Below are 25,464 nucleotides of genomic sequence, written 5' to 3'. Positions count from 1 at the left end.
AGCTAATATTGCAGTTAACATTGACAACCTGTGAACTTAGGGTCTTTTGGCTGATGGCTAACTTTTTGTTTGTTTTTTTGTTTTTGAGACAGTCCTGCGCTGTCACCCAGGCTGGAGTGGTGTGATCACAGTGGTGTGATCCTAACTCACTGCAGCCTTGAACTCCTGGGCTCAAGTGATCCTCCTGCCTCAGCCCCCTGAGTAGCTGGGCTTACAGACATGTGCCATGGCACCTGGCTAATTTTTGTACTTTTTCCTGTATAGGTGGGCTCTCACTATGTTGCCCAGGCTGGCCTCAAAACTCCTGAGCTCAAGCAATCCTCCCATCTCAGCCTCCCAAAGTGCTGGGATTACAGGCATGAGTCACTACATCAGACTACATGCTTATTTTAAAACTAAGGATTCTAGAAAAATATGAAGAAAAAAAAATATGGCCTTTTCCACCTTTACTTCTATCCTGAGACATCTCTCAATATGAGCGCACATATATATATATGTATGTCCGTGGTTTTGAGTAGTGAAATTGCATGACACCATCCTCACATGTTCTTTAATCTTTTTTATATGGTCATATTTCTATGTCAGTTATTATAAATCTGCATCATAATTCAGATGGTTATACAGTATGCCTGTGTCTGTATGTACCATTATTTATGTTATAATAAATAATGCTATAATGAATGTTCTTGTATACACTTTTTTTATACTTACCATCTTCTGGTGGTGAATTCTTCAATGGCTACATCCAAAAATATGCACGTTTCACGGTTAGGAAAATAGTGCTGAATTCCCATAGTGTTATGATCTGTAATCAGCCATGCCAGTTAATGTCAGAAGTCAGTCAGGTTTTCTTGGTATTAGCCAGTTTGGGATTTGTGCCATAAAGCATACTTACACGTGTTTGTATGTGGATTCTGGTGAAAAACCCAAGTCAACTTGCTAATTGGTAGTCTTTACCGAGAATCCTGATAATGTCTTAAAACATCAAAGTTTAAAATATATATAAATATTTATATAAAAATATGTGTGTGTGTGTGTGTGTGTGTGTGTGTGTGTGTGTGTGTATATATATATATATATATATATATATATATATATATATATATATGTAGACAGAGTCTTGCTCTGTCACCCAGACTGGAATGTAGTGGTGTGATCTTGGCTCACTGCAACCTCTGCCTCTCGGGTTCAAGCAATTCTCCTACCCCAGCTTCCTGAGTAGCTGGGATTATAGGCATCTGCCAACATGCCTGGCTAATTTTTGTATTTTTAGTAGAGATGGGGTTTTGCCATGTTGACCAGGCTGGTCTTGAACTCCTGACCTCAGGTGATTCGCCTGCCTTGGCCTCCCAAAGTGCTGGGATTACAGCTGTGAGCCACTGCACCCAGCCATTTTTTAAAAGTCTCACTTTTGAGAAAAGTAAGGTGATAAAGCAGCCTGCCTTTTTGAATCAAAGAAAATCTGTTAATTGAAGTGATTATAACATAGTTTATGCTATTGCAATAAGTTCTTTTCACAATTTTTTTTTTTTTTTTTGAGGCGGAGTCTCTCATCTCTGTCACCTGAGCTGGAGTGCAGTGGCGCGATCTCGGCTCACTGCCACCTCTGCCTCCCAGGTTCAAGCGATTCTCCTGCCTCAGCCTCCCGAGTAGCTGGGATTACAGGCACGCATCACCACGTCTGGGTAATTTTTGTATTTTTAGTAGAGACAGGATTTTGCCATGTTGGCCAGGCTGGTCTCGAACTCCTGATCTCAGGTGATCTGCCCGCCTTGGCCTCCCAAAGTGCTGGGATTACAGGCATGAGCCACCTGCCCAGCTTACACTTTTTTTTTTTTATTTTTGGAATAATCTTAAATTTACAGAAAAGTTACAAGTAGAGTGCAACTCTGTACTCATAAACTCCTCATGGTTTCTTTTGTTAAAGTCATAACCATAGTGTGTTTCTCAAAACTAAGGAACTGACATTGGTATATTACTATTAACTACACTTCGTATTTAATTCAGATTTCATTAGTTTTTCAGCTAATATCCTTTTTCTATTTGGAAACATCCTAAGCTTTAAAACTCTATTCCGAAGCCTGAATATCTGTTCATGGATTCGCTTTGGTTATAACATAGATTGTACACATATATATACTATATATAATGTAGCTGGATCTCTGTGTTTGTTTAAACATATGTAAGTTATCTTTGACATTAGTATCTTTAAGAGTTATCTTGTGACATTCACAGATAGTTCTGCCCAAGGCCATTTTAAGGTAGGGCAGAATTTTCCCCACCCTTCTTGTATTCCATGCAGAAACATGATTTATCACTTCTGTGAGTATAGTTCTTGTGCAATAGTACCCTTTTCAGTATAGTTATAAGCCCCTAAGTCCATTAGTGTATGGAAAATAGCCAACTTTTGTTTACTAGGAAATTAACTGTTAACTGAGAGTAGTAGTCAAGAGTCTTCTCTGCAGGATGGTTTCATGTCTTGCTCTGAGAAAATTTAAGTATTTAGTGATTCTTGAAGGAGAAAAAGCTACTGATCTTGAGGCAGAATACCATTGTAGATAAGGTAGTACTTGGGTATCTTTCACTCTACACTTACCAATGCAAAGAATCCCTGCTATGGCAAACCATGGCATCCAAACTCACTGCATTACATTTGTTTTGTTGTTTTTTTTTCTTTTTTGAGATGGAATTTTGCACTGTTTCCCTGGTTGGAGTGCAATGGTGTGATCTCGACTCACTGCAACCTCTGCCTCCTGGATTCAAGCAATTCTGCTGTCTCAGCCTCCCGAATAGCTGGCCTGGCAAATTTTTGTATTTTTAGTAGAGACAAAGTTTCACCATATTGGCCAGGGTGGTCTTGAACTCCTGACCTCAGGTGTTCAATCCTTCCCAAAGTACTGGGATTACAGGCGTGAGCCACTGCACCTGGCCACTGCATTAAATTGAGTAATTCCTTGAAACAGTTTAGTTTATGGCAGAGGAGGACGGAATTGGCAATATGAAGTAGATATGGATTTTTAAAAAATCACTTTTTCTCCCAGCTTAAATGGAACTCTTAAGTGTTCCTTCCATTAGCAAATCACTTTTTTAATTCTTTTTTTGTTTTGTTTTCTTTTTCATTCAGTTTCATTCAGAAGCATACCACTTATTAGAAAAAAAGAAAAAATCCTCAAGCATTCTAGGAAACAAAAATGCATAGGGATAACTTGGCAGTTCCATAAGAAAAAACACACTAGGATGAGTGCAGTGTGCATATCTGTAATCCCAGAACTTTGGGAGGCCATGGCAGGAGGATTGCTACACTCACTACACTTCCCTACCTGTCCCCTCTCATTTTAAAGCAACTCCAGACATCATATTATTTATAAAAACTTCCTGAGCATCATTAAGTATTCAGTCAGTATGTGTATGTCCCAATTGACTCATAATTGTTTTTTCAGTTTGTTTGAATTAGCGTCCCAAGAAGTGATTGGGTAGGTTTGTTTTCTTTCTCTCCCCTCCCCCTTTGCCTCTCCATTCCTCTCCTTGCGGGGGTTTTTCTTTTCTTTTCTTTTCTTTTCTTTTCTTTTCTTTTCTTTTCTTTTCTTTTCTTTTCTTTTTTGAGGCAAGGTCTTGCTCTGTCACCCAGCCTGAGGCTCAGTCTTGGCTCACTGTAACCTCAATCTCCCGGGCTCAAGTGATCCTCTTGCTTCAGCCTCCCAAGTAGCTGGGAGGCACACACACACCACTGTGTCCAGCTAAATTTTTTTTGTAGAGATAGGGGTCTCACTATGTTGCCCAGGCTGGTCTTGAACTCTTGATCTCAAGAGATTCTCTCACCTCAGCCTCCCAAAGTGCTGGGGTTAGACATACGCCACCATGCGCAGCCTCCTTGCAGTTTTTTGTTGAGGAATCCAAGTTATTTGTTGTATAGTTTTCCATAGTCTGAATTTTGCTAATTATATCCACATGGTGTCATTTGATATGTTCCTCAGTCCCTTTTATTTCCTGTAGATTGGTGTTTAGATCTATAGGCTTGATAAGATTAAGGTTTGGTAGGGTGTGGTGGCTCACACCTGTAATCCCAGCACTTTGGGAGGCCAAGGCGGGTGGATTGTTTGAGGCCAGGAGTTTGAGAACAGCCTGGGCAACATAGTGAGATCCCCATCTCTACAAAAAATACAAAACTTAGCTGGGTGTGGTGGTGCACACCTCTAGTCCCAGCTATTTGGGAAGGTGAGGTGGCAGGAGTGATTGAGCCTAGGAGGTTGAGGCTCTAGTGAGCTGTGATCATGCCACTGCATTTCCAGCCTCAGTGACAGAGTGACTGTGTCTCAAAAAAAAAAAAAAAAAAAAAAACAAAACCAAGGTTCAATTTTTCTTGCAGGCATGGGGCAAGATTACTTAATAGGTAGTGGTGTATAATTCTAGGAGATATAAAAGCTGGTTGCCTCTTTTTGGGTATTGTTATGAGTCATTGATGATCTTTTTGCCTACATCCATTCATTAGGGGTTGCAAATTTTATATATATTTAAAGACAGAGTCTTGCTCTGTCACCCAGGCTGGAGTGCAGTGGCATGATCACGGCTCACTGCAGCCTCTACCTCCCAGGCTCCAGCGGTCCTCCCACCTCAGCTTCCAGAGTAGCTGGGACCACAGGCACGTGCCATCACGCCCAGCTAGTTTTTGTATTTTTAGTAGAGACCAGGTTTCACCATGTTTCCCAGGCTAGTCTGAAACTCCTGAGTTCAAGCAATCCACACATCGTGGCCTTCCAAAGTGTTGGGATTACAGGCATGAGCCACCACTCCTGGCCACAAAATAATGTTTAATTCTATAATTTGTTTTTCAGTTATTAGCTGGAATACTTATATAAAATTTCCCCTCAACTGTTTAGTTTCCTTAGGGTACAGATCTGATAGGAATGATTTTTGCCCTTCATTTATCTGTTTTCAAAAGAATGAGTTGGCTGTCTTAGCATCCTCTAAAGGTGACCAGTGGATTTAAGCATATTTGGTGTGTTTCAATCCATGACTCTTATTAATCCTTTGATACTCAGTTGTCCTATCTTTGCCAGATAGGCATTTATCAGGCTGGTTCCTCATTCTTTTTGACACATTCCTGATAGTTTTTGATAGCTTCCTTTCTTTCCCTTAGGACAAGATATTCCAAACTCATACATTCCCTGCCCTGTTTCCTTTTAGTGGGAAATATCTAGAAACCATAATATGTTCTCAGTACTAAGATAGGCACAAGCTGGAATGCTAAAGCAGTATTTTAAAAAGAGCTACCTGCCCACAAGGGACTTGGTCTTTGACATTTTGATTTTTTTAATTCATTTTATTTACTTTGTATACATTTTGATGTGATAAAATCAGAGTTGATTTCCTCTTTTTAAACTAAAACAAATATTTGCTTTCATTATATAACATATATATATCAAAATGAGAAGAATGTCTAAAATAAGTTTGAAGCTAAAGATTAAAATCTTAATATGCATTTTACAAACATGTGGCCCTATAGGAATAGTAGTTTGTTTGTTTGTTTGAGACGGAGTTTCACTCTTGTCACCCAGGCTGGAGTACAGTGGTATGATCTCAGCTCAGTGCAACCTCTGCCTCCCAGGTTCAAGTGATTCTTCTGCCTCAGTCTCCCAAGTAGCTGGGATTACATGTGCACACCACCATGCCTAGCTAATTTTTGTATTTTTAGTAGAGACAGGGTTTTGCCACATTGGCCAGGTTGGTCTCGAGGTCCTGACCTCAGGTGATCTGCCCACTGCAGCCTCCCAAAGTGCTGGGATTACAGGCATTAGCCACTGAGCCCATCCTGTTTGTTTTTTTATAAATAAAGTAACCATGTAACTTGTCCAGACTTGGAGACCTGTGAGGGGGCATCATTAGCATTATTCTAGGAGAAAACAGTGATAAACTAGGACTTTTCCCAGTAAACTAGGACAAATGCTCACAATCTATTTATAAACTAATTGTGAGACTGTAAGCCTCCTGAGACCAGGAATCCTATCTGTTGTACTACACTTGTAGTTGTGGCTGCGGCACTTGGCACATGGCAGGTGCTCAATAAATATTTTGTGAATTTAATAAAAGTCTGATATTTTGAGGCTTGATGATGTTGATTTTAAGTGTTTCTTATGCTTGTGCTTTTTTCAACATCCTTTTGTTAACACTTCGCATCTAAATGATCTTAGGCATTGAATCTGAATGGGTTTGATTACTTCATTTCTTTTTTTTTTTTTTTGAGATGGAGTCTCGCTCTTTCGCCCAGGCTGGACTGCAGTGGCACTATCTCGGCTCACTGCAAACTCTGCCTTCTGGGTTCACGCCATTCTCCTGCCTCAGCCTCCTGAGTAGCTGGGACTATAGGCACCCACCACCACGCCCGGCTAATTTTTTGTATTTTTAGTAGAGACAGGGATTCACCGTGTTAGCCAGGATGGTCTCGATCTCCTGACCTCGTGATCGGCCCACCTCAGCCTCCCAAAGTGCTGGGATTACAGGCGTGAGCCACCACGCCCGGCCTACTTCATTTCTTTTTAAAGTTTAGGATTAGTTGTTTTGTTTATTGAAGAAATAACACGGCCAGGCGCGGTGGCTTACGCCTGTAATCCCAGCACTTTGGGAGGCCGAGGTGGGCATATCACTTTAGATCAGGATTTCTCGACTAGCTGGCCAACATGGTGAAACCCCGTTTCTACTAAAAATACAAAAATTAGCTGGGCCTAGTGGAACATACCTATAATCCCAGCTACTTGGGAGGCTGAGGCAGGGGAATTGCTTGAACCCGGGAGGAGGAGGTTACAGTGAGCCGAGATTGCGCCACTGCCCTCCAGCCTGGGTGACAGAGCAACACTCTGTCTCAAAAAAAAAAAAAAAAAGAAAAATCTAGATAACTTCCTTACTACCACCCCTCACTGCCCCTTCCAAAAAGTCGCCAGTCATCTGAATGGATTTTATCTTAAGGGAGAAGAGCGCATAGCAGTTATAAATTTGGCTAATTCTTACTCTTAGGGCCCCTCTGACTCATCTTTTAGCCAGTGGGCCTTAGTTTCCTGCATTTATAAAAGAGACTAATAATTACTTGGCAAGAACTTTTTGATTCTTAGATAAATGTGCTTTTTTGAGGGGGGATTAGGTGGGAGTTGGGGAAGGAGGGAATGCTAACTTGAACAATGTTTCTGTGATCAAAACTATCTTTGGTTGTCCTAGCCACATTCCTTGAAGATGTTAGCAAAAGTAGTGATAGAAAATTTGCTTTGATGGGCCAGCGTGGTGGCTCACGCCTGTAATCCAAGCACTTTGGGAGGCTGAGGCAGGCGGATTGCCTGAGCTCAGGAGTTCGCGACCAGCCTGGGCAACACAGTGAAACTCCGTCTCCGTTAAAATACAAAACATCAGCCAGGCATGGTGGCGTGCGCCTGTAGTCCCAGCTATTCGGGAGGCTGAGGCAGGAGAATTGCTTGAACCCGGGAGGCAGAGGTTGCAGTGAGCCGAGATTGCACCACTGCACTCCAGCCTGGGTGACAGAGCAAGACTCTGTCTCAAAAAAAAAAAAAAAAAAAATTTTGCTTTGATGTGAGCTAATGTGAAAATTCTTTGATTTTGGTAAGGGAAGTATATTTGAAGAATATTATATATATTAAAAAACATTATTAATTAAAATCTTTTCTTCAACATAAATCAGTGAAGGGGAATAAATTTTTTTTTCTTGTTTTTTGAGACAGGGTCTCACTCTGTTGCCCAGGCTAGAGTGCAGTGGTGCAATCACAGCTCATTGCAACTTTGAACTCCTGGGGTTCAGTGATCCTCCTGCCTCAGTTTCTCAAGTAGCTAGGACTATAGGCATGCACCACCATACCTAGCTAATTATTTTTTTTTTTTGAAACGGAGTCTCGCTCTGTCCCCCAGGCTGGAGTGCAGTGGCACGATCTCGGCTCACTGCAAGCTCCGCCTCCCGGGTTCATGCCATTCTCCTGCCTTAGCCTCCTGAGTAGCTGGGACTACAGGCGCCCGCCACCACACCCGGCTAATTTTTTTTGTATTTTTTAGTAGAGACGGGGTTTCACTGTGTTAGCCAGGATGGTCTCGATCTCCTGACCTTGTGATCCACCCGCCTCGGCCTCCCAAAGTGCTGGGATTACAGGCTTGAGCCACCGCGCCTGGCCGGCCTAGCTAATTTTTAAGTTTTTTGTAGAGATTAAGTTTCACCATGTTGCCGAGGCTGGTCTTGAACTCTGGGCCTCAAGCAATCCTCGCACTTTGGCCTGCCAAAGTTTTGGGATTACAGGCATGAGCCACTGTGCCCAGCTGTGAATTAAACTTAGTTATGTGTACCCAGGGCTCTGGGCAGCCTGCTCGGTCACATCCTTGGTTTGGTTATCTTGACCACGCATTGGATTTGTGTTATTTAAAAAAAAAAAAAAAGTTATTTTTTTTTAAAGGCAAGCAAGCAAAAACAAAACGTTTATTAAGGTTTTCGACTGATGACATCTATTTATAGCACATACATTGTGAAGATCTGTGGTTTCCTTTAGATTAAGAAAGATATTGTATAAAATCATCTCCCCACATAAATGTTTCCACCACCTACTCATTTGTCTGCAAGCCAGGAGTCTGTTCACTTCCTCTTGGGCTCTGTCACTTTGGTGTTCGTAGGCTAATTTTTTAGACATTCCAGTGCAGTTAGAATGTAAATGTCTGTGGTGTGTAAGGTTACTAATGGATTTATCTTATATCCTAAAAGTAACTTCTCTGGAGTTTATAGGGAGATAGTGTCTTGAACAGGTTGTTCATTCAGAAATGTAGATGTTTGGGACTTTTGTTTTACTGAAATATGCAGTCATTCATTGTACATTATAGAGAACAGTATTTTGGGAAAAGATAGTTAAGAATTACATGTGGGCCGGATGCGGTGGCCCACGCCTGTAATCCCAGCACTTTGGGAGGCTGAGGCAGGTGGATCTCTTGAGGTCAGGAGCTCAAGACCAACCTGGCCAACATAGTGAAATCCCATCTCTATTAAAAATACAAAAATTAGCCGGGTGTGGTGGCATGCACCTGTAATCCCAGCTACTTGGGAGGCTGAGGCAGGAGAATCGCTTGAACCTGGTAGGCGGAGGTTGCAGTGAGCTGAGATTGTGCCACTGCACTCCAGACTGGGTGACAGAGCAAGAGTCTGCCAAAAAAAAAAAAAAAATTCTATGTGGAAAAAACCTTTGTATATTTGAACATCTTCCATCAGCTTTCCCAGCTCATGTTATTACTGACCAGTTGTTGTGCCAGTGAGCAAATAGCTAAGACTTTTATGTGATACTGAGGGGGGTTTTCTCCTCACAAGCAGATCATTAAATTGTCACATGTTCTATAGTTCAGCCTTGAGTTGAAATTTTCGTGTGGTCACCAGTAACTGAGGTTTGTCAATATGATACACATGTGTGTTCATATGGACTGTGCTTTTCTTCTTTTAAACTGAAGAGTTAAGATATGTTGTAGCATGAAAATGTATTGATTCCCCCCCCCCCCCCCCCTTTATCTGTTATCTGGCATTTAATGAAAAAAAGTCTTGCTCGAAAGTTGCAGATCCCTTGAGGGCAACAAACACTATACTCAAAATGAAACTAGGTTACTGTTTCTGCAACATGCGGTGGTTTGTGTCAAAAGCTGTTCTGGTCTTAACTTTGAAATTATCCCCTTTTCTTTGAAGTGGTCATGTTTTAATTTGGAGTGGTTTCACATTTTAGAATTTCCTGAATTTAACATAAAAATTTTTAAATATTTTCTTATGTGGTTCTTGTACACAAGTTTATAGAAAGCTTATCTCAAGACAACATACTTCTTCAGTAAGACCAAAGCGAAAAAATACTTTAGATTTGAGAAAATTCTTTTTTTTTTTTTTGAGACTGAGTCTTGCTCTTGTCATCCAGGCTGGAGTGCAGTGGCGCAATCTTGGCTCACTGCAAACTCTGCCTCCCGGGTTAAAGCGATTCTCCTGCCTCAGCCTCCTGAGTAGCTGAGATTATAGGCGCCTGCCACCATGCCCGGCTAATTTTTGTACTTTTAGTAGAGATGGGGTTTCGCCATATTGGTCAGGCTGGTCTCGAACTCCTGATCTCAGGCGATCTGCCTGCCTTGGCCTCCCAAAGTGCTGGGATTACAGGCGTGAGCTACCACGCCTGGCCAGATTTGAGAAAGTTTTGAAGACTAAAAGTGTTTTAAGGGGATATTCCAGATGGTTTCATGTAGTTGTATTGTAGATTTTCTTAGTTCTGAAAGTACCTGGGCTTTTGTGGTTTAGTACTTTGGGTTTGTGTTTTAATTACGGAATGATCTTTGTAATATAACCAAGAGAAAATTAGACGCTTTTCCTTTACTATTTTCTATTACTACTTTTTAAAAAGGTATCCTTTTTCTTTTTTTCTTTTTGAGACAGTCTTGCTGTTGCCCAGGCCAGAGTGTAGTGGTGTGGTCACAGCTCACTGGAGCCTTGACCTCCCTGGCTCAAGCGATCCTTCCTTCTCAGTCTCCTGAGTAGCTGGGACTATTGGCATGCACCACCACACCCGGCTAATTTTTTTTTTTTTTTTTTTTTTTTTGTAGAGATGAGGTCGTACTATGTTGCCTAGGCTGGTCTAAAACTCCGAGGCTCAAGTGATCTTTCCACCTCAGCCTCCCAAAGTGCTGGGATTACAGCCATGAGCCACCTTGCCCAGCCATCCATCTTTTTTCTTTTCCTTGTCAGGCCATCCATCTTTTTTTTTTTCAGTTGATGTGCTCTGAAATGAGGCAGAGTTTAAGATTTGTCATAGTTTTTCTTTGACATAGTTTTGTCATAGTTTTTCTTTTCTTTTCTTCTTTTCTTTTCTTTTTGAGACAGTCTCGCTCTGTCACCCAGTCTAGAGTACAGTGGCCTGATCTCGACTCTCAGCTCACTGCAACCTCCACCTCCTGGGTTCAAATGATTCTCCTGCTTCAGCTTCCTGAGTAGCTGGGATTACAGGAGCCTGCCACCATAGCCAGCTAATTTTTTGTATTTTTAGTAGGGTTTCACCATGCTGGTTAGACTGATCTCGAACTCCTGGCTTGAAGTGATCCACCCACCTCAGCTTTTCAAAGTACTGGGATTACAGGTATAAGCCACTGCACCTGGCCATACTTTTTCTTCTATATATAATTTTGTTGTTGTGGAGACAGGGTCTCACTCTGTGGCCCAGGCCCCAAATGTTCCACTCCACTGCAGCCCCAGCCTCCTGGGCTCAAGCTATCCTCCTGCCTCAGCTTTCCAAGTAGCTGAGACTACAGGTACACCATGCTACCTGGCTAACTTTTTGTATTTCTTGTAGAGATGGGGTTTTGCCATGTTTCTCAGGCTGAACTCCTGAGCTCAACCTATCCGCCTGCCTCAGCTTCCCAAAGTGTTGGGAGTATAGGTATGAGCCACCATGCCAACCAGTTTTTAAAAGCTTAATGAACTAACCTATAATTAATTCCAAAATATATTTTTTCTTTCTTTCTTTTTTTTTTTTTTTTTTTTTTGAGACAGAGTCTCGCTTTGTTGCCCAGGCTGGAGTGCAGTGACTCAGTTCACTGCAACCTCTGCCTCCCAATTTCAAGAGATTCTCCTGTCTCAGCCTCCGGAGTAGCTGGGATTACAGGCATTTGCTACCACACCCACCTAATTTTTGTATATTTAGTAGAGACAAGGTTTCGCCATGTTGGCCAGGCTGGTCTCAAACTCCTGACCTCCAGTGATCCACCCGCCTGGGCCTCCCAAAGTGCTGGGATTATAGGTGTGAGCCACCGTGCCCAGCTGGGATTAATTTTTCTATCTCTGGTAGAGATGGGGCTTTGCCATGTCGGCCAAGCTGGTCTCAAAATCCTGGCCTCAAGTAATCCGCCCGCCTCGGCCTCCTAAAGTGTTGGGATTACAGGCGTGATTCACTGCACCCGGCCCCAAAATGTTATTTCTGTAATAGAGTTTTGTAATCAGAGGTGATCTTTCCCTTCAGCATTTAAACATGCTGTTTCTCCCATCTTTAAAAGTCCAAACTCAAGGCTGGGAGTGGTGGCTCACGCCTGTAATCCCGGCACTTTGAGAAACAGAGGCAGGTGGATCACGAGGTCAGGAGTTCAAGACCAGCCTGGCCGATATGGTGAAACCCCGTCTCTAGTAAAAATACAAAAACTAGCTGGGCGTGGTGGCATGTGCCTGTTGTCCCAGATACTCGGGAGGCTGAGGCAGAAGAATCTCTTGGCTTTTACATCGGCCTTCGCGATCGTTTGGTCGTGTGGCAGGAACAATGGCTCTGTCTTCAGTGGCACAGCGGAGCAGCTCTGTGAAGATGCAAAAATACACAAAAAAAATTCCAGAACATCTGGGAGAATATTTAATGGAAAATCGCTTGGTTAAAACCTGACACTCTTCACAGCATTCTGAGTGTGGACGAGTAGCCAGTGAAGATAATGTCGGATGTCACTGACTAGCAGCTTCATTTTGAATGAGGGTCGCTGTCTGCCCATTGATAGAGGCCAGATTGTCTTGGAAGTTCCAAAGTTGCAACGATTTCTGGCTAGTGCCACGAGGTTTACTTGACTGTTATGTGAAAAGCTGATAAGAAAACCATCCAGAAAAAAACCTCTTCATTTTACAAACATGAAAATAAAACATGTAATTTTGGATTATGTTGCTTTTTGTTATTACTTTTAAATAGGTCCTGAAATAACATGGGGGGCATTAAATGGAAAATACACTTAAAAAAAAAAAAAAAAAAAAAAGAATCACTTGAACCTGGGAGGCAGAGGTTGCAGTGAGCCGAGATCATGCCACTGCACTCCAAGCCTAGGCGACAGAGTGAGACTACGTCTCAAAAAAAAAAAAAAAAAAAAAATTTCCTAACTCAGACCTTTTCTTTGTTTTGAGTTCTACTCTAGCTCTGTTCCTCAGCTTCCATTCCCCTCCTGATCACACTTTTAACTAGTGTGGCTGGTTAAGTATCACCCACAGCTAGTGAGTGATAGCTCCAGAAGTCCGCCCAAGTCTGAGCCCTTAACCATTATGCTAATGAAGTCTGGTGTTTTTTTCAGAGAGGAGGAGGCTGGTGGAAGGACAAGGGGACCTTCATGTTAAGGAATTATTGAGTCACTGAATTCAGTGGTCATTTTTCTCTGTCTTTTTTAATCTCTTGGCTTCTGTGCACTGTACTTTAGTGTTTTTGTTTTACCTCACTGTTAATTTCTTCTTTCTTCATTGTTATCCTTTTCTTCTCTGCCCTTGGGGTGCCCTAAGGCTTGGTGCTCAGCCCCTTCTTTTCTGTTTATCCTGTCTCCTCAGCCCCCAAATGTAAATTCTTTCTGTTTGCTGATATCTCCTAAATATGTAGCTATAGTGTTGACTTTTCCTTTGATCAGGTGCTTCTATCCAGTTGGCTATTGGACAACTCTACTTAATTGTCTAATTTGCATCTCAAACATGACTGTATGCATTATTAGGATGCTGTAGACTTCAAGTAATAGAAAATCCAATTCAAAGTAATTCAAACTAAGGAAAATATATCCTTACAAGTAACAAGACGCCTCAGTCTAGGGTTGGTTTAAATCTGTGGTTTAGTGACATCAGTCAGGACCCCTCTTCTTTTCGCCCTTCTGCTCTGCCAGCTTGAACATGTCTGCCTTGTCTTTTGGCCAGCACACATTATAGATGCAAGATGGTTACCACAGTTCCATGCATCACATCCAGACAAGGTGACATCTAGCAGAAGGTGTTGGTTCTCATTCTTATGCTTTTTAAGAGTTCAGAAACTGGTGGAGTGCAGTGGCTGACGCTGTAATCCCAGCACTTTGGGAGGCTGAGGCAGGAGGATCGCTTGAGGCAAGGAGTTTAAGACCAACATGGGCAGACCAATACAGTAAGACTCCGTCTCTACCAAAAAAAAAAAAAAAATTAGCCAGGCATGGTGGCGTGTGCCAGCTACTCAGGAAGATGAGGTGGGAGGATTACTTGAGCCTGGGAGGTCGAGGCTGAAGTGAGTCATGATCGCGCCACTGCACTCCAGCCTGAGCGTTGGAGTGAGACTCTGTCTCAAAAACAAAAAATTGTTGTATTTGGCAATCATGACTTATTTTTTGTGCATAGGTCTTGCTTCTCAACCTAATTTTAAGCTTGTGAAGGTGAGGGTCAATGCAATGATTATTTTAAAGAATAAATATTTTCTCTTTATATTAGCCTCTTGGTACTTTGCATGTAGATAATAATCAAAGCTTGTAAATGCATGAATAGAATGTAGGAATTGGACAGACAGCGCTTAGTGTATAAACCCATGAGACCTATAAACTTCACATTTTAATTAGAAAAGAAAAAGGAATTTCTGCATTCAGGGAAAAAAGAAGACATGGGCTCCTTGTTTATTATTTACCTCTAGATAAAAAATAAATAAATCCCTTGTTTGAGTAGCAGTAGTTTTAGTAACACAGAGTCCCATTACTTCTAAGACAGATATACTGGATGTCTCATGAAGATTCATAAAGCGTAACTCAGTGTATTTAGGGTAACAACTCAAACCCTAGTAATCAGTCTCTTCTCTGTGTTCAACTATACTTCCCAAAAGGGAGGAAGGATCCACTGGATCAGTTTGCCAACATCCAGTGTAGAAAACCTCTATTGAGTTAAATTTTGTTCTAAGTAAGCTACCTACAGAGTTGTTGGGCATTTTTGCCTTTAATTTTTCTTTTTTCTTTTTTTTTTTTTTTTTAAGAGAATGGGTATTGGTCTGTTGCCCATGCTGGAGGGCAGCAGCATGATCATAGCTTACTATAGCCTGGAACTCTCGGGCTCGAGTGATCCTCCCACCTCAGCCTCTTGAATAGCTAAGATTGTAGGCATGCACCACCACACCTGGCTAATTTTTAAAAAATTTTTGTAGACATGGGATCTCGCCATGTTGCCCAGGCTGATCTCAAACTCCCAGCTTCAAGTGATCCTCCTACCTTGGCTCCCAGTGCTGGGATTATAGGCATGAGCCACCATGCCTGATCACCTTTAATTTTAACAAGTTGTGTTAAAATGTAACAGTTGTGGCATTGTTACCAGATTTTATTTCACTCAACCTGTGACTTACATACTTAAAAAAAAAAAAAAAAAAAAAAACACCATTAAGAAAAGTAGGCCGGGGCCGGGTGTGGTCGCTCATGCCTATAATCCCAGCATTTTGGGAGGCTGAGGTGGGCTGTTCTCGAACTCCTGACCTCGTGATCCAACATGATGAAACTCCATCTCTACTAAAAAAAATACAAAAACTAGCTGGGTGTGGTAGCATGCGCCTGTAATCCCGGCAACTCAGGAGGCTGAAGCAGGAGAATCACTTGAACTTGGTAGGTGGAGGTTGCAGTAAGCCGAGATTGCGTCTTTGTACTCCAGCCTGGGTGACAGAGCAAGACTCTGTCTCAAAAAAAAAAAAAAGTAAAAGGCCGGGCACCGTGGCTCACGTAATCCCAGCACTTTGGGAGGCTGAGGCAGGCAGATCACTTGAGGTCAGAGGTTCAAGATCAGCCTGGCCAACATGGTGAAACCCTGTCTCTAATAAAATACAAAAGTTAGCTGGGCGTGGTGGTGCATGCCCATAATCTCAGCTACTTGTGAGGCTGAGGCAGGAGAATCACTTGAACCTGGGAGGTAGCGGTTGCAGTGAGCTGAGATCATGCCATTGCATTCCAGCCGGGGCCTAGGTGACAGAGTGAGACTCTGTCTCCAAAAAAAAAAAAAAAAAGGGCTGGGCATGGCAGCTCATGCCTGTAATCCCAGCACTCTGGGAGGCCGAGGCAGACAGATCATGAGGTCAGGGGTTCAAGACCAGCCTGGCCAACATGGTGAAACCTCATCTCTACTAAAAATACAAAAATTAACTGGGCATGGTGGCGCGTGCCTGTAATCCCAGCTACTCAGGAGGCTGAGGCAGGAGAATTGCTTGAACCCAGGAGGCGGAGGTTGCAGTGAGCCAAGACTGCACCACTGCACTCTAGCCTGAGCGATGGCGGGAGACTCTGTATCAAAACAAAAAAAAAAAAGTAAAGGTAACAATAGATATGACAGGTCTTAGGCTTCATGGATTTCTTCTACATCCTTTTTTGCATATTGCCTTAAATGCTTTCTGACTAAGGCAGAGGATTATGAATAGAATCATCCAAGGAATGGTGTTAAGTGTGCTCACATCTCTGTCTACCCTAAGAAAGTGTGGTGGACTCTGTGTTGTGTTTAGAAAAACCTACCTATTCCATGGTTAAGGTTGTGGGGTCATTTCCATCAAGCATCATATTTATTTAAAGACTGTGGACTGTTTTCTTAACCCAAGTATCTCCAAACTGAGATTCATAAGCTAATTTTTGTGTTCAAAGAGTTGAATTGAAATTATGGTAACACTTTACAGTGTAACCAAAATATCATAACTGGCTGTTATATATATATTTGATTAGTAACAAATAAAGTATGACCTCAATGCAAATTCTTAGACACAGTTTTTTTTTAATAATAAGAGAGAACATGGTGGGGTAGGGTGGGGTAAGGGGTGTGTGATAACCCTTAATATTGAAAAGTTGGGAGTTACCTGTGTGGCAATAGGTGACCAGATGAATTAGGTAACAGAATAGACACAAATAATCAGCACAAACTTGTAGAACATTAAATGTCAGTCGTGGAAGGGAATCCCGTGAGTTCGTGGCTGAAAAAACTGAGAGCTAGAAAGGTGAAATAACCTGCCCAGCAGTATGGAAGAGTTCCAAATAGAGCCTATCCAGATCTGTTGATTCTCAGCACTGTGACCAGGTTGCAGTTTATGAGCTATCCAGTAAATCAATAATATCATTTTATACAAAATATCATAATTTATTTTCACATGATCTTATTACTTCAGATCACCTTTGAACTATTTATATCCAAATAGCCTATTTGATTTTGTTATTGAAATATAATTCATTTACTATAAAATTTATCATTTTAAAGCATACAAGTCTGCAGTTTTTGGTATATTCACAAGATTGTGCAACCATCACCTATGTCTAATTCCAGAACATTTTCATTGCCCCCAAAAGAAACCTGGAGCCCATCAGCAGTCACTCCCCCCTCCTCCCTACTCCCAGCTCCTGTTAATGACGATTTACTTTCTGTCTCTATTTGCTTATTCTGGCTGTTTCATATAAATAGAGTCATACAACTAGGTAGCCTGTTATGTCTGGCTTCTTTCACTTAGCATAATGCTTTCGGGGTTTTTCCATCTTGTACCACATATCAGTACTACATTCCCTTTTTTTTTTTTTTGGAGATCGAGTCTTGCTCTGTCTCCCAAGCTGGAGTGCAGTGGCAAGATCTCAGCTCACTGCAACCTCTGCCTCCTGAGTTCAAGCAATTCTCCTGCTTCAGCCTCTCAAGTAGTTGGAACCACAGGTGCATGCCACCACTCTCAGCTAAATTTTGTATTTTTGGTAGAGATGGGGTTTCACCATGTTGCCCACGCTGGTCTCGAACTCCTGAACTCTAGCAATTCACCTGCCTTAGCCTCCCGTAGTTCTGGGATTACAGGCCTAAGTCACCATGCCCGGCCATTTCTTCTTTTTGAGACAGGGTCTCACTCTGTTGCCCAGACTGGAGTGTAGTGGAATGATCATGGCTCACTGCAGCCTCAACCTCCCAGGCTCAAGCAATATTCCCACCTTAGCCTCCTGAGTGGCTAGGACTACAAATGTGCACCGCTACACCCAGCTAATTTTTGAAAAACTTTTTGTAGAGACGAGGTCTTGCTATGTTGACCAGGCTGGTTGCAAACTCCTGGGCTCAAGTGATCATCCCACCACAGCCTCCCAAAGTGCTGGGATTACAGGCATGAGCCACTACACCTGACTTCTTCATTCCTTTTTATAGCAGATAATATTCCATTGTATGATTATATATTTTGTTTATCCACTCATCAGTTGATGTATATTTGGATTGCCTTTTGGCTATTATAAATAATGCTTCTGTGAACATTTGTTTACAAGTTTTCGTATGAACATGTTTTTGGTTCTCCTGAGTTTATGCCTGGAACTGGAATTGCTGAGTCATATGTTAACTGTTTAATTTTTTTTTTTAAGGAACTGCCAAACTGTTCTCCAGTGTACCATTTTATATTCCTACCAGTAACATATGAGGCTTCCAATATCTTCACATCCTCACCAACACTTGCTGTGTTCCAATTTTTTATTATAGCCATCCTAGTAGGTGTGAAGTGGTATCTCATTGAGATTTTGATTTGCATTTCACTAATGCTGAATAATGTTAAGCATCTTTTCCTTTACGCATTGGCCATTTGTATATCTTCTTTTTTTTTTTTTTTTTTTTTCTTGAGACAGAGTCTCACTCTGTCGCCCAGGCTGGAGTGCAGTGGCACGATCTCGGCTTACTGCAAGCTCCGCCTCCTGGGTTCACACCATTCTTCTGCCTCAGCCTCCCAAGTAGCTGGGACTACAGGCACCCGCCACCACACCTGGGTAATTTTTTTTTTTTTTTTTTTTTTTTTAGTAGAGACAGGGTTTCACTATGTTAGCCAGGATGGTCTCGATCTCCTGACCTTGTGATCCACCCACCTTGGCCTCCCAAAGTGCTGGGATTACAGGTGTGAGCCACCACGCCTGGCCCATTTGTATATCTTCTTTAGAGAAATGTCTTCATATTCTTTCCGTTTTAATTTTTTAAATTATTTCATTTTGGCCGGGTGCAGTGGCTCATGCCTGTAATCCCAGCACTTTGGGAGGCCGAGGTGGGCGGATCACGAGGTTGGGAGATCGAGACCATCCTGGCTAACAAGGTGAAACCCCGTCTCTACTAAAAATACAAAATATTAGCTGGGCATGGTGACAGGCACCTGTAGTCCCAGCTACTCGGGAGGCTGAGGCAGGAGAATGGCGTGAACCCAGGAGACGGAGCTTGCAGTGAGCTGAGATCGCGCCACTGCACTCCAGCCTGGGCGACAGAGCGAGACTCTGTCTCAAAAAAAAAAAATTATTTTATTTTATTATTTTTTTCAGACAGGGTCTTCTTGCTCTGTTGCCCAGGCCAGAGTGCAGTGGTGCAGTTATAACTCACTGTAGCCTCAACCTTCTGGGTTCATATGATCCTCCTGCCTTAGCCTCCCAAAGTGCTAAGACTATAGGCATGAGTTTTGTTAATTCATTTCTGACCATAGATATGCTGGAGAAACTGAAAGAAAAGGGGGTAGGGAGAAGAAGGAAAGAGGTAGAGAAAAATTTAATTTACAAACTTTGTCTAAGTAAATATATACTACAGGCTGGGTGCAGCAGCTCACACCTGTAATCTCAGCACTTGGGAGTCCAAGGCAGGAGGATCATTTGAGGCCAGGAGTTTGAGACCAGCCTGAGCAACATAGCAAGACCTCTGTCTTCAAAAAAAGTTAAATATATATCACAAGGAAAGGTAAAATCTGCTCTGTGATGAGAGTTTTTAGCCTGGGGTTTTGGGACCCCTAGAGAATCCTTGGATGGATTTCTGGGAATAGGTGGATCCCTTGAAATTGTTTGTAAAATTGTGTGTGTTCCTTTTGGGAGAGAGAGGATTTGTATATTTCAAAAGAATCGGAGAGGGAACATACAGGCTTATGGGAAGGAAAAGGCAGAGGTGTGTTAGCAATTTGTCTTTTTCTGTTGGCTATGTTTTGCATACATTATGTTTGGGTTAAAACTTCCTACCTGGTTTCAAATATTTTTGTTTTAGACTATTTATTCATACCTCTTGGTTTAAGACTAGTTCAGTTAAGATGTTTTCAAAATGTTATATTTATTTATTTATTTTGAGGCAATGTCCCCAGGCTGGAGTGCAGTGGTGCGATCTCAGCTCACTGCAACCTCAGTCTGCTGTGTTCAAGCAACTCTCCTGCCTCAGCCTCCCAAGTAGCTGGGATTATAGGTGACCACCACCAGCTAAATTTTTGTATTATCAGTAGAGACAGGGTTTTGCCACGCTGGCCAAGCTGGTCTTGAACTCCTGACTTCAGGTGTTGGCCTCCCAAAATGCTGGGATTACAGGTGTGAGCCACCATGCCCAGCCTTTTATTTTATATTTTATTTTATTTTATTTTTTGAGACGAAGTCTCACTGTCTCACCCAGGCTGGAGTGCAGTGCTGCGATCTCAGCTCACTGCAAGCTCCGCCTCCCTGGTTCAACCGATTCTCCTGCCTCAGCCTCCCAAATAGCTGGGACTACAGGCATGCACTACCATGCATGGCTAATTTTTATACAAAATGTTAATTTTTGAAGTGTCAAAAAATTTTTGTTAATGAGAAAACAATAACACTCCTTTGTCTTTTTGTAGGCCAAATGTATAAAATAAATTCCCAGCATTTTCTGATGTTATCCACAAATCTAAAATATTTGTGATTTTTATTTTTTTATTTTTTTATTTTTTATAAAATACAAGAGTGTAATAAAGACATATCTGAGTTATTTTCATTTTCTAAATGAGTTTTAAATTCAGGTTCACAATGATCTAGTCAATTTGACATCTCTCATAGTGGATTATATCATAGGTAGCCACAATGTGAACATCTGTACCTATACTTACACCTGATAAATATATCTCAGTTCTAATTTGTGGTGTTACCTTTAGGAGTTTAAGAAAAGGCACATTTGGCCAAGCATGGTGGCTCACGCCTGTAATCCCAGCACTTTGGGAGGCCGAGGTGGGTGGATCACGAGGTCAGGAGATCGAGACCATCCTGGCTAACACGGTGAAAGCCCGTCTCTACTAAAAATACAAAAAATTAGCCGGGCGTGGTAGCGGGCACCTGTAGTCCCAGCTACTTGGGAGGCTGAGGCAGGAGAATGGCGTGAACCTGGGAGGCAGAGCTTGCAGTGAGCTGAGATCGCGCCACTGCCCTCCAGCCTGGGTGACAGAGCGAGACTCCGTCCCAAAAAAAAAAAAAAAAAAGACACATTCATAAGCCCTTTTCTTTTCTTTCTCTTTTTTCTTTTTTTTTTTTGAGATGGAGTTTTGCTCTTACTGCCCAGGCTGGATGCAATCTTGGCTCACCACAACCTCCGCCTCCCTGGGTTCAAGCAATTCTCCTGTCTCAGCCTCTGGAGTAGCTGGGATTACAGGCATGTGTCACCACGCCCAGCTAATTTTGTTTTTTGGTTTTTGTTTGTTTGTTTGTTTGTTTTAGTAGAGACAGGGTTTCTCCATGTTGGTCAGGCTGGTCTCGAACTCCCAATCTCAGGTGATCCACCTGCCTCAGCCTCCCAAAGTGCTGGGATTACAGGTGTCAGCCACTGTGCCCGGCCTCTGATTTTTTTTAATAAAGTTAATAGGCAGGATATCAGTTAATAACGATCAAGATACTGATATAGTTGCTGTTTTAAAAATGGACTACTCCATTTATTAATTGTATTTTGGCCAGGTGTGGTGGCTCACACCTGTAAACACCTGTAAACCTAACGCTTTGGGAGGCCGAGGCGGGTGGATCACCTGAGACCAGGAGTTCAAGACCAGCCTGGGCAACATAGTGAAACCCCATCTCTATTAAAAACACAAAAAACTAGCCAGGCATGCACCTAATTAAAAATTAGTCATGCTAAAAATTAAAATTAAAATTAAACATTAGCTGTGGTGTGCACCTGTAGTCCTAGCTACTCAGGAGGCTGAGACAGGAAAATCACTTTAACCTGGTAGGTAGAGATTGCAGTGAGCTGAGATCATGCCACTGCACTCCAGCCTGGGTGGCAGAGTGAGACTCCATCTCAAAATAATAATATAGCCCACGTTTTTGCAAAAATAAAAATAATTGCATTCCATATAGTGACCTTTGGTTAAGGCTAGACTGAGACCTTCCAAGGTTATATATCTTGTAAATATGTTCTTCTGGTTGGTTTTAAGGGCACTGAATTTTATTTGAGCCAGTACTTTGTCTGATTCTGACAGAAAAGATGGCAACAGTACACACAAAACTTACCTTCTTTTTAAAAATTGCTTCAAGTTATATTCTCCTATCTGTAGATGACATTTGTGAATGGAATTGAATAATGGGAAAATATTCTGAATATACATTGTGATCATGTCGGTCCTGTGGTATAGCTTAATTAGTATTTGATTTCTTCTTTGGCCCTGGGCGTGGTGCTTATTGGTGAAAGTTAAGATTGCTTCAGCTGACTTGTGTAATGACTAATGCACATTAGTTTGTATTATCTTATATGGAAATGTAGAAACTGTTGATGCTTGAAGGTAATTAGGTAGTACCTAGGAAGAGTGCGTCTCTCCTTTGTCCTCTTTTACTAGTTGCACTTGCATATTGTTGAGGAAACACAATGGCAGTCTCATTTAAATGCGTGTGTAAAAAACTACAATGAAATTTTATTTTTATAAAAGCTTTGTCTAAAACTGAAGGTGACAAGCATTTCTCAATTCCACTTCTTACAGAGAGTGGATTAGATGGACTGCTTAAAAATTGTTTGACATATTACATTTTTATTAGATGAGACTGTAGTTCTGTTTCTTGACCATATAAAATGTATGCATCTGAGAACAGCTTGTAATGCTTATCCAAAATAAGGCCCAGTGATATATGACATTTGATGTTTTTGTTTGTTGTGAAGATGACTGTTACAAGTTGATGTTGGTAGCTTTTCTATTTACAGGTCGATATTGTGAGCACCTTTGGAAATGAAGGACATTTATAAATATGCGTTGATACTGTAATAACAAAACCCTTTTCAATGTAAATTTTGTTTCTATAACTTCTACTTTACATACAAAATTCAAAGTTGACAAATTTATTTAGGTTTTACCCATTTGAAAGCTTACCATTTTGTTGCAAGAAGATGAACTAAAAATATACTTTAAATTTTGAGTCTTTAGTTTGTTAAAAGTGGTTACTGTGAAACCCAGACTACAGGTGGATCAGTTTGAAAACTGAAATGTATCCATATGAATTAACCTAACATTCTGGACATTCTGAAGGAAGGTATGAGTTTCACCAGCTAAGGATAAAATTTACACCCTCAAACATGAGTCTGGAATTCTGTTATTTGCTTTGTATTGTAAAGGTATTTTGTTGTTCAAAAACCTAAGTACATCTTTTGAGACTGTTGTTTACCATTAACTCAGTAGGAGACAGTGTGGTAAACTTGGACTAGGAGTTAGAAAAGCAGAATTCAAACACTTGTTCCATCACTTACCAGCAATGACAACGGGAAAGTTGAGCCTCAGCTGTAAAATGGGAGCAGCATTTGTATTAGTCTGTTTGCATTGCTATAAAGGAATACCTGAGGCTGGGTAATTTGTAAAGAAAAGAGGTTTATTTGGGCTTGTGGTTCTGCAGGCTGTACAAGCCTGGCACCAACATCTGCTTGGCTTCTGTTAAGGGCCTCAGAAAGTGTACAATCATGGCAGAATGCAAAGGGGGAAGCAGGTGTATCACATGGTGAAAGAGCAAGCAAGAGATAGAGATTGGGGAAGTGCCACAGTCTTAACCAGATCTCATGTAAACTCAGAGCAAGAAATAACTCATTCCTTCGAGGACAGCACTGGGCCATTCATGAGGGATCTGCCCCCATGACCCAAACACCTCCCACCAGGCCTCACCTCCAACATTGAGGATTACATTTCAACATGAAATTTGGAGAGGACAAAACATCCAAACCATATCAGCATTCCAAGTTATTGTAGGGTAATCATGCATAAGTAGGTAAAAAAACCCACATGGTTTCATTCCTGTCATTTTCCTGTGGTGTTTTTTGTGTGCAACATTCTTACCTTCCCACTTCTCCATCTGACTTCTGCTTGTCCTTCAAGACCAGCCCCAGCTTTATCTCATCTCTGAAACTTCCCGTGGCCTGTTCACCACCTCCCTTCACATACTGCCACTGTATGTTATGTGTATAGGTGAGTGTATTTAGCAAATACTTATAATAGTGCTTACTATTGCTAAGTATTTTCATAAGCATTTATACCAGTAATCCATGAGGTAGAACTACGACTATCTCCATTGTACATATACAGAAAATGAGACATAAAGAAGTAACTTACCCAAGGTCATGACTCACCTATGAGGTTTTAGAGCCAGATTTTTAATGCAGGCAGTCTGGTTTCAGAGTTTGTGCTCTTAACTGCTATACTGTGTTTTTACTTTTTAAAAAATTACAGGTGTGATGGCTCATGCCTGTAATTCCAACTCTTTGGGAGGCCGAGGCAGGCAGATTACATGAGGCCAGGACTTCGAGACCAGCCTGGACAACATGGTGAAACCCTATCTCTACTAAAAAAAAAAAAAAAAAATATATATATATATATATATATATATATATATATATATATATATATATATTTATTTATTTAAAAGTAGACACGAGGTCTCATTATGTTGCTCAGGTTACTCTTGAACTCCCTTGCTTCAAGCGATCCTCCTGCCTCAGCCTCCCAAAGTGCTGAGATTACAGGCATGAGCCACTGTGCCTGGTCTGCTATGCTATATTTTTCATGTCTGTCTCCCCAGGTAGATCTTTGAGCACCTTGATGGTTCCAACTCCTACAATACCTAACACATAGTAGGCACTTCATAAATGTTTAACAATTATATGATAAATATGCCTTAGGTAGGCCAGGCGCAGTGGCTCACGCTTGTAATGCCAGCACTTTGGGAGGCTGAGACAGCGGCTCACGAGGTCAGGAGTTCGAGACCAGCCTGGCAAACACAGTGAAAGCCCGTCTCTACTAAAAATACAAAAATTAGCTGGGTGTGGTGACAGGCGCCTGTAATCCCAGCTACTAGGGAGGCTGAGGCAGGAGAATCGCTTGAACCCAGGAGGCAGAGGTTGCAGTGAGCTGAGATTGTGCCACTGCACTCCAACCTGGGCAACAGAGCTAGACTCCGTCTCGTGAAAAAATAAAAAAAATTATCTATATATGTGCTTTATGTAAACTGTAAAGCATCATATAAATGCAAATTATAACCACTACCAAATGCATTTTTTGTAAATCAGAGTAGAATTTACCAAGCGTTTCAGTTTTTTAGTACAGTTTCTTGGCCCCAACTTTTCAGACTAGGAGTTTACTAAGGTATAGATTGGTAAAATTTATGGACTGACAATATCAAATCATGGCATCAGGCTCAAAGTCTAGGACCTCAGTGATGCAACAGTGTGATGCTTGGTGGCATCACCAAGAGAAGGTGATGCGTAGCAGTCTCTACATTGGGTCCAGACGTTGCTCTTCTTGATCCAGAGATCCATGAAAGAAATTGACAAGTGATCTGCTGCCCCCAATACAGTATACATTACAATAGTGAATAGTGAAAAGATAATAAAAATAAGTACTCCTGTTTGAAAGGAGTATGAATAGGAGACATAGAGCAGTTGATGAGCTGCAACAAATTCTGAAATCCCTCTGTGCTGTCATTGAGAAGGCCCTCTCCAGGGGTGGGGAATATTCTTGGACAGGCCTT

General features: G+C 41.6%; 1 protein-coding gene across 6 annotated transcripts in view, besides 3 other annotated features; it reads left to right on the top strand.

The window, feature by feature from the left end:
- Positions 1–25,464, top strand: part of ZNF652 (zinc finger protein 652) — a 74,357-nt gene that overhangs the window by 10,395 nt on the left and 38,498 nt on the right. The window lies entirely within an intron of this gene.
- Positions 6,845–7,045: a silencer, noted in NCBI's record as "peak2886 fragment used in MPRA reporter construct". NCBI's record gives its function as "represses an SCP1 promoter by STARR-seq MPRAs in K562 erythroleukemia cells {active_cell/tissue: K562}" and the evidence as "EXISTENCE:reporter gene assay evidence [ECO:0000049][PMID:32103011]".
- Positions 8,535–8,735: a silencer, noted in NCBI's record as "peak2885 fragment used in MPRA reporter construct". NCBI's record gives its function as "represses an SCP1 promoter by STARR-seq MPRAs in K562 erythroleukemia cells {active_cell/tissue: K562}" and the evidence as "EXISTENCE:reporter gene assay evidence [ECO:0000049][PMID:32103011]".
- Positions 9,296–9,345: a silencer, noted in NCBI's record as "silent region_8667". NCBI's record gives its function as "represses an Ori minimal core promoter by ATAC-STARR-seq in GM12878 lymphoblastoid cells {active_cell/tissue: GM12878}" and the evidence as "EXISTENCE:reporter gene assay evidence [ECO:0000049][PMID:35858748]".

This window comes from Homo sapiens, chromosome 17 (genome assembly GCF_000001405.40).
Source record: "Homo sapiens chromosome 17, GRCh38.p14 Primary Assembly".
In the NCBI taxonomy this organism is placed as follows: domain Eukaryota; kingdom Metazoa; phylum Chordata; class Mammalia; order Primates; family Hominidae; genus Homo; species Homo sapiens.
Note: the sequence above shows the minus strand (reverse complement) of the source record. Positions and strands in the feature narration are given on the sequence as shown.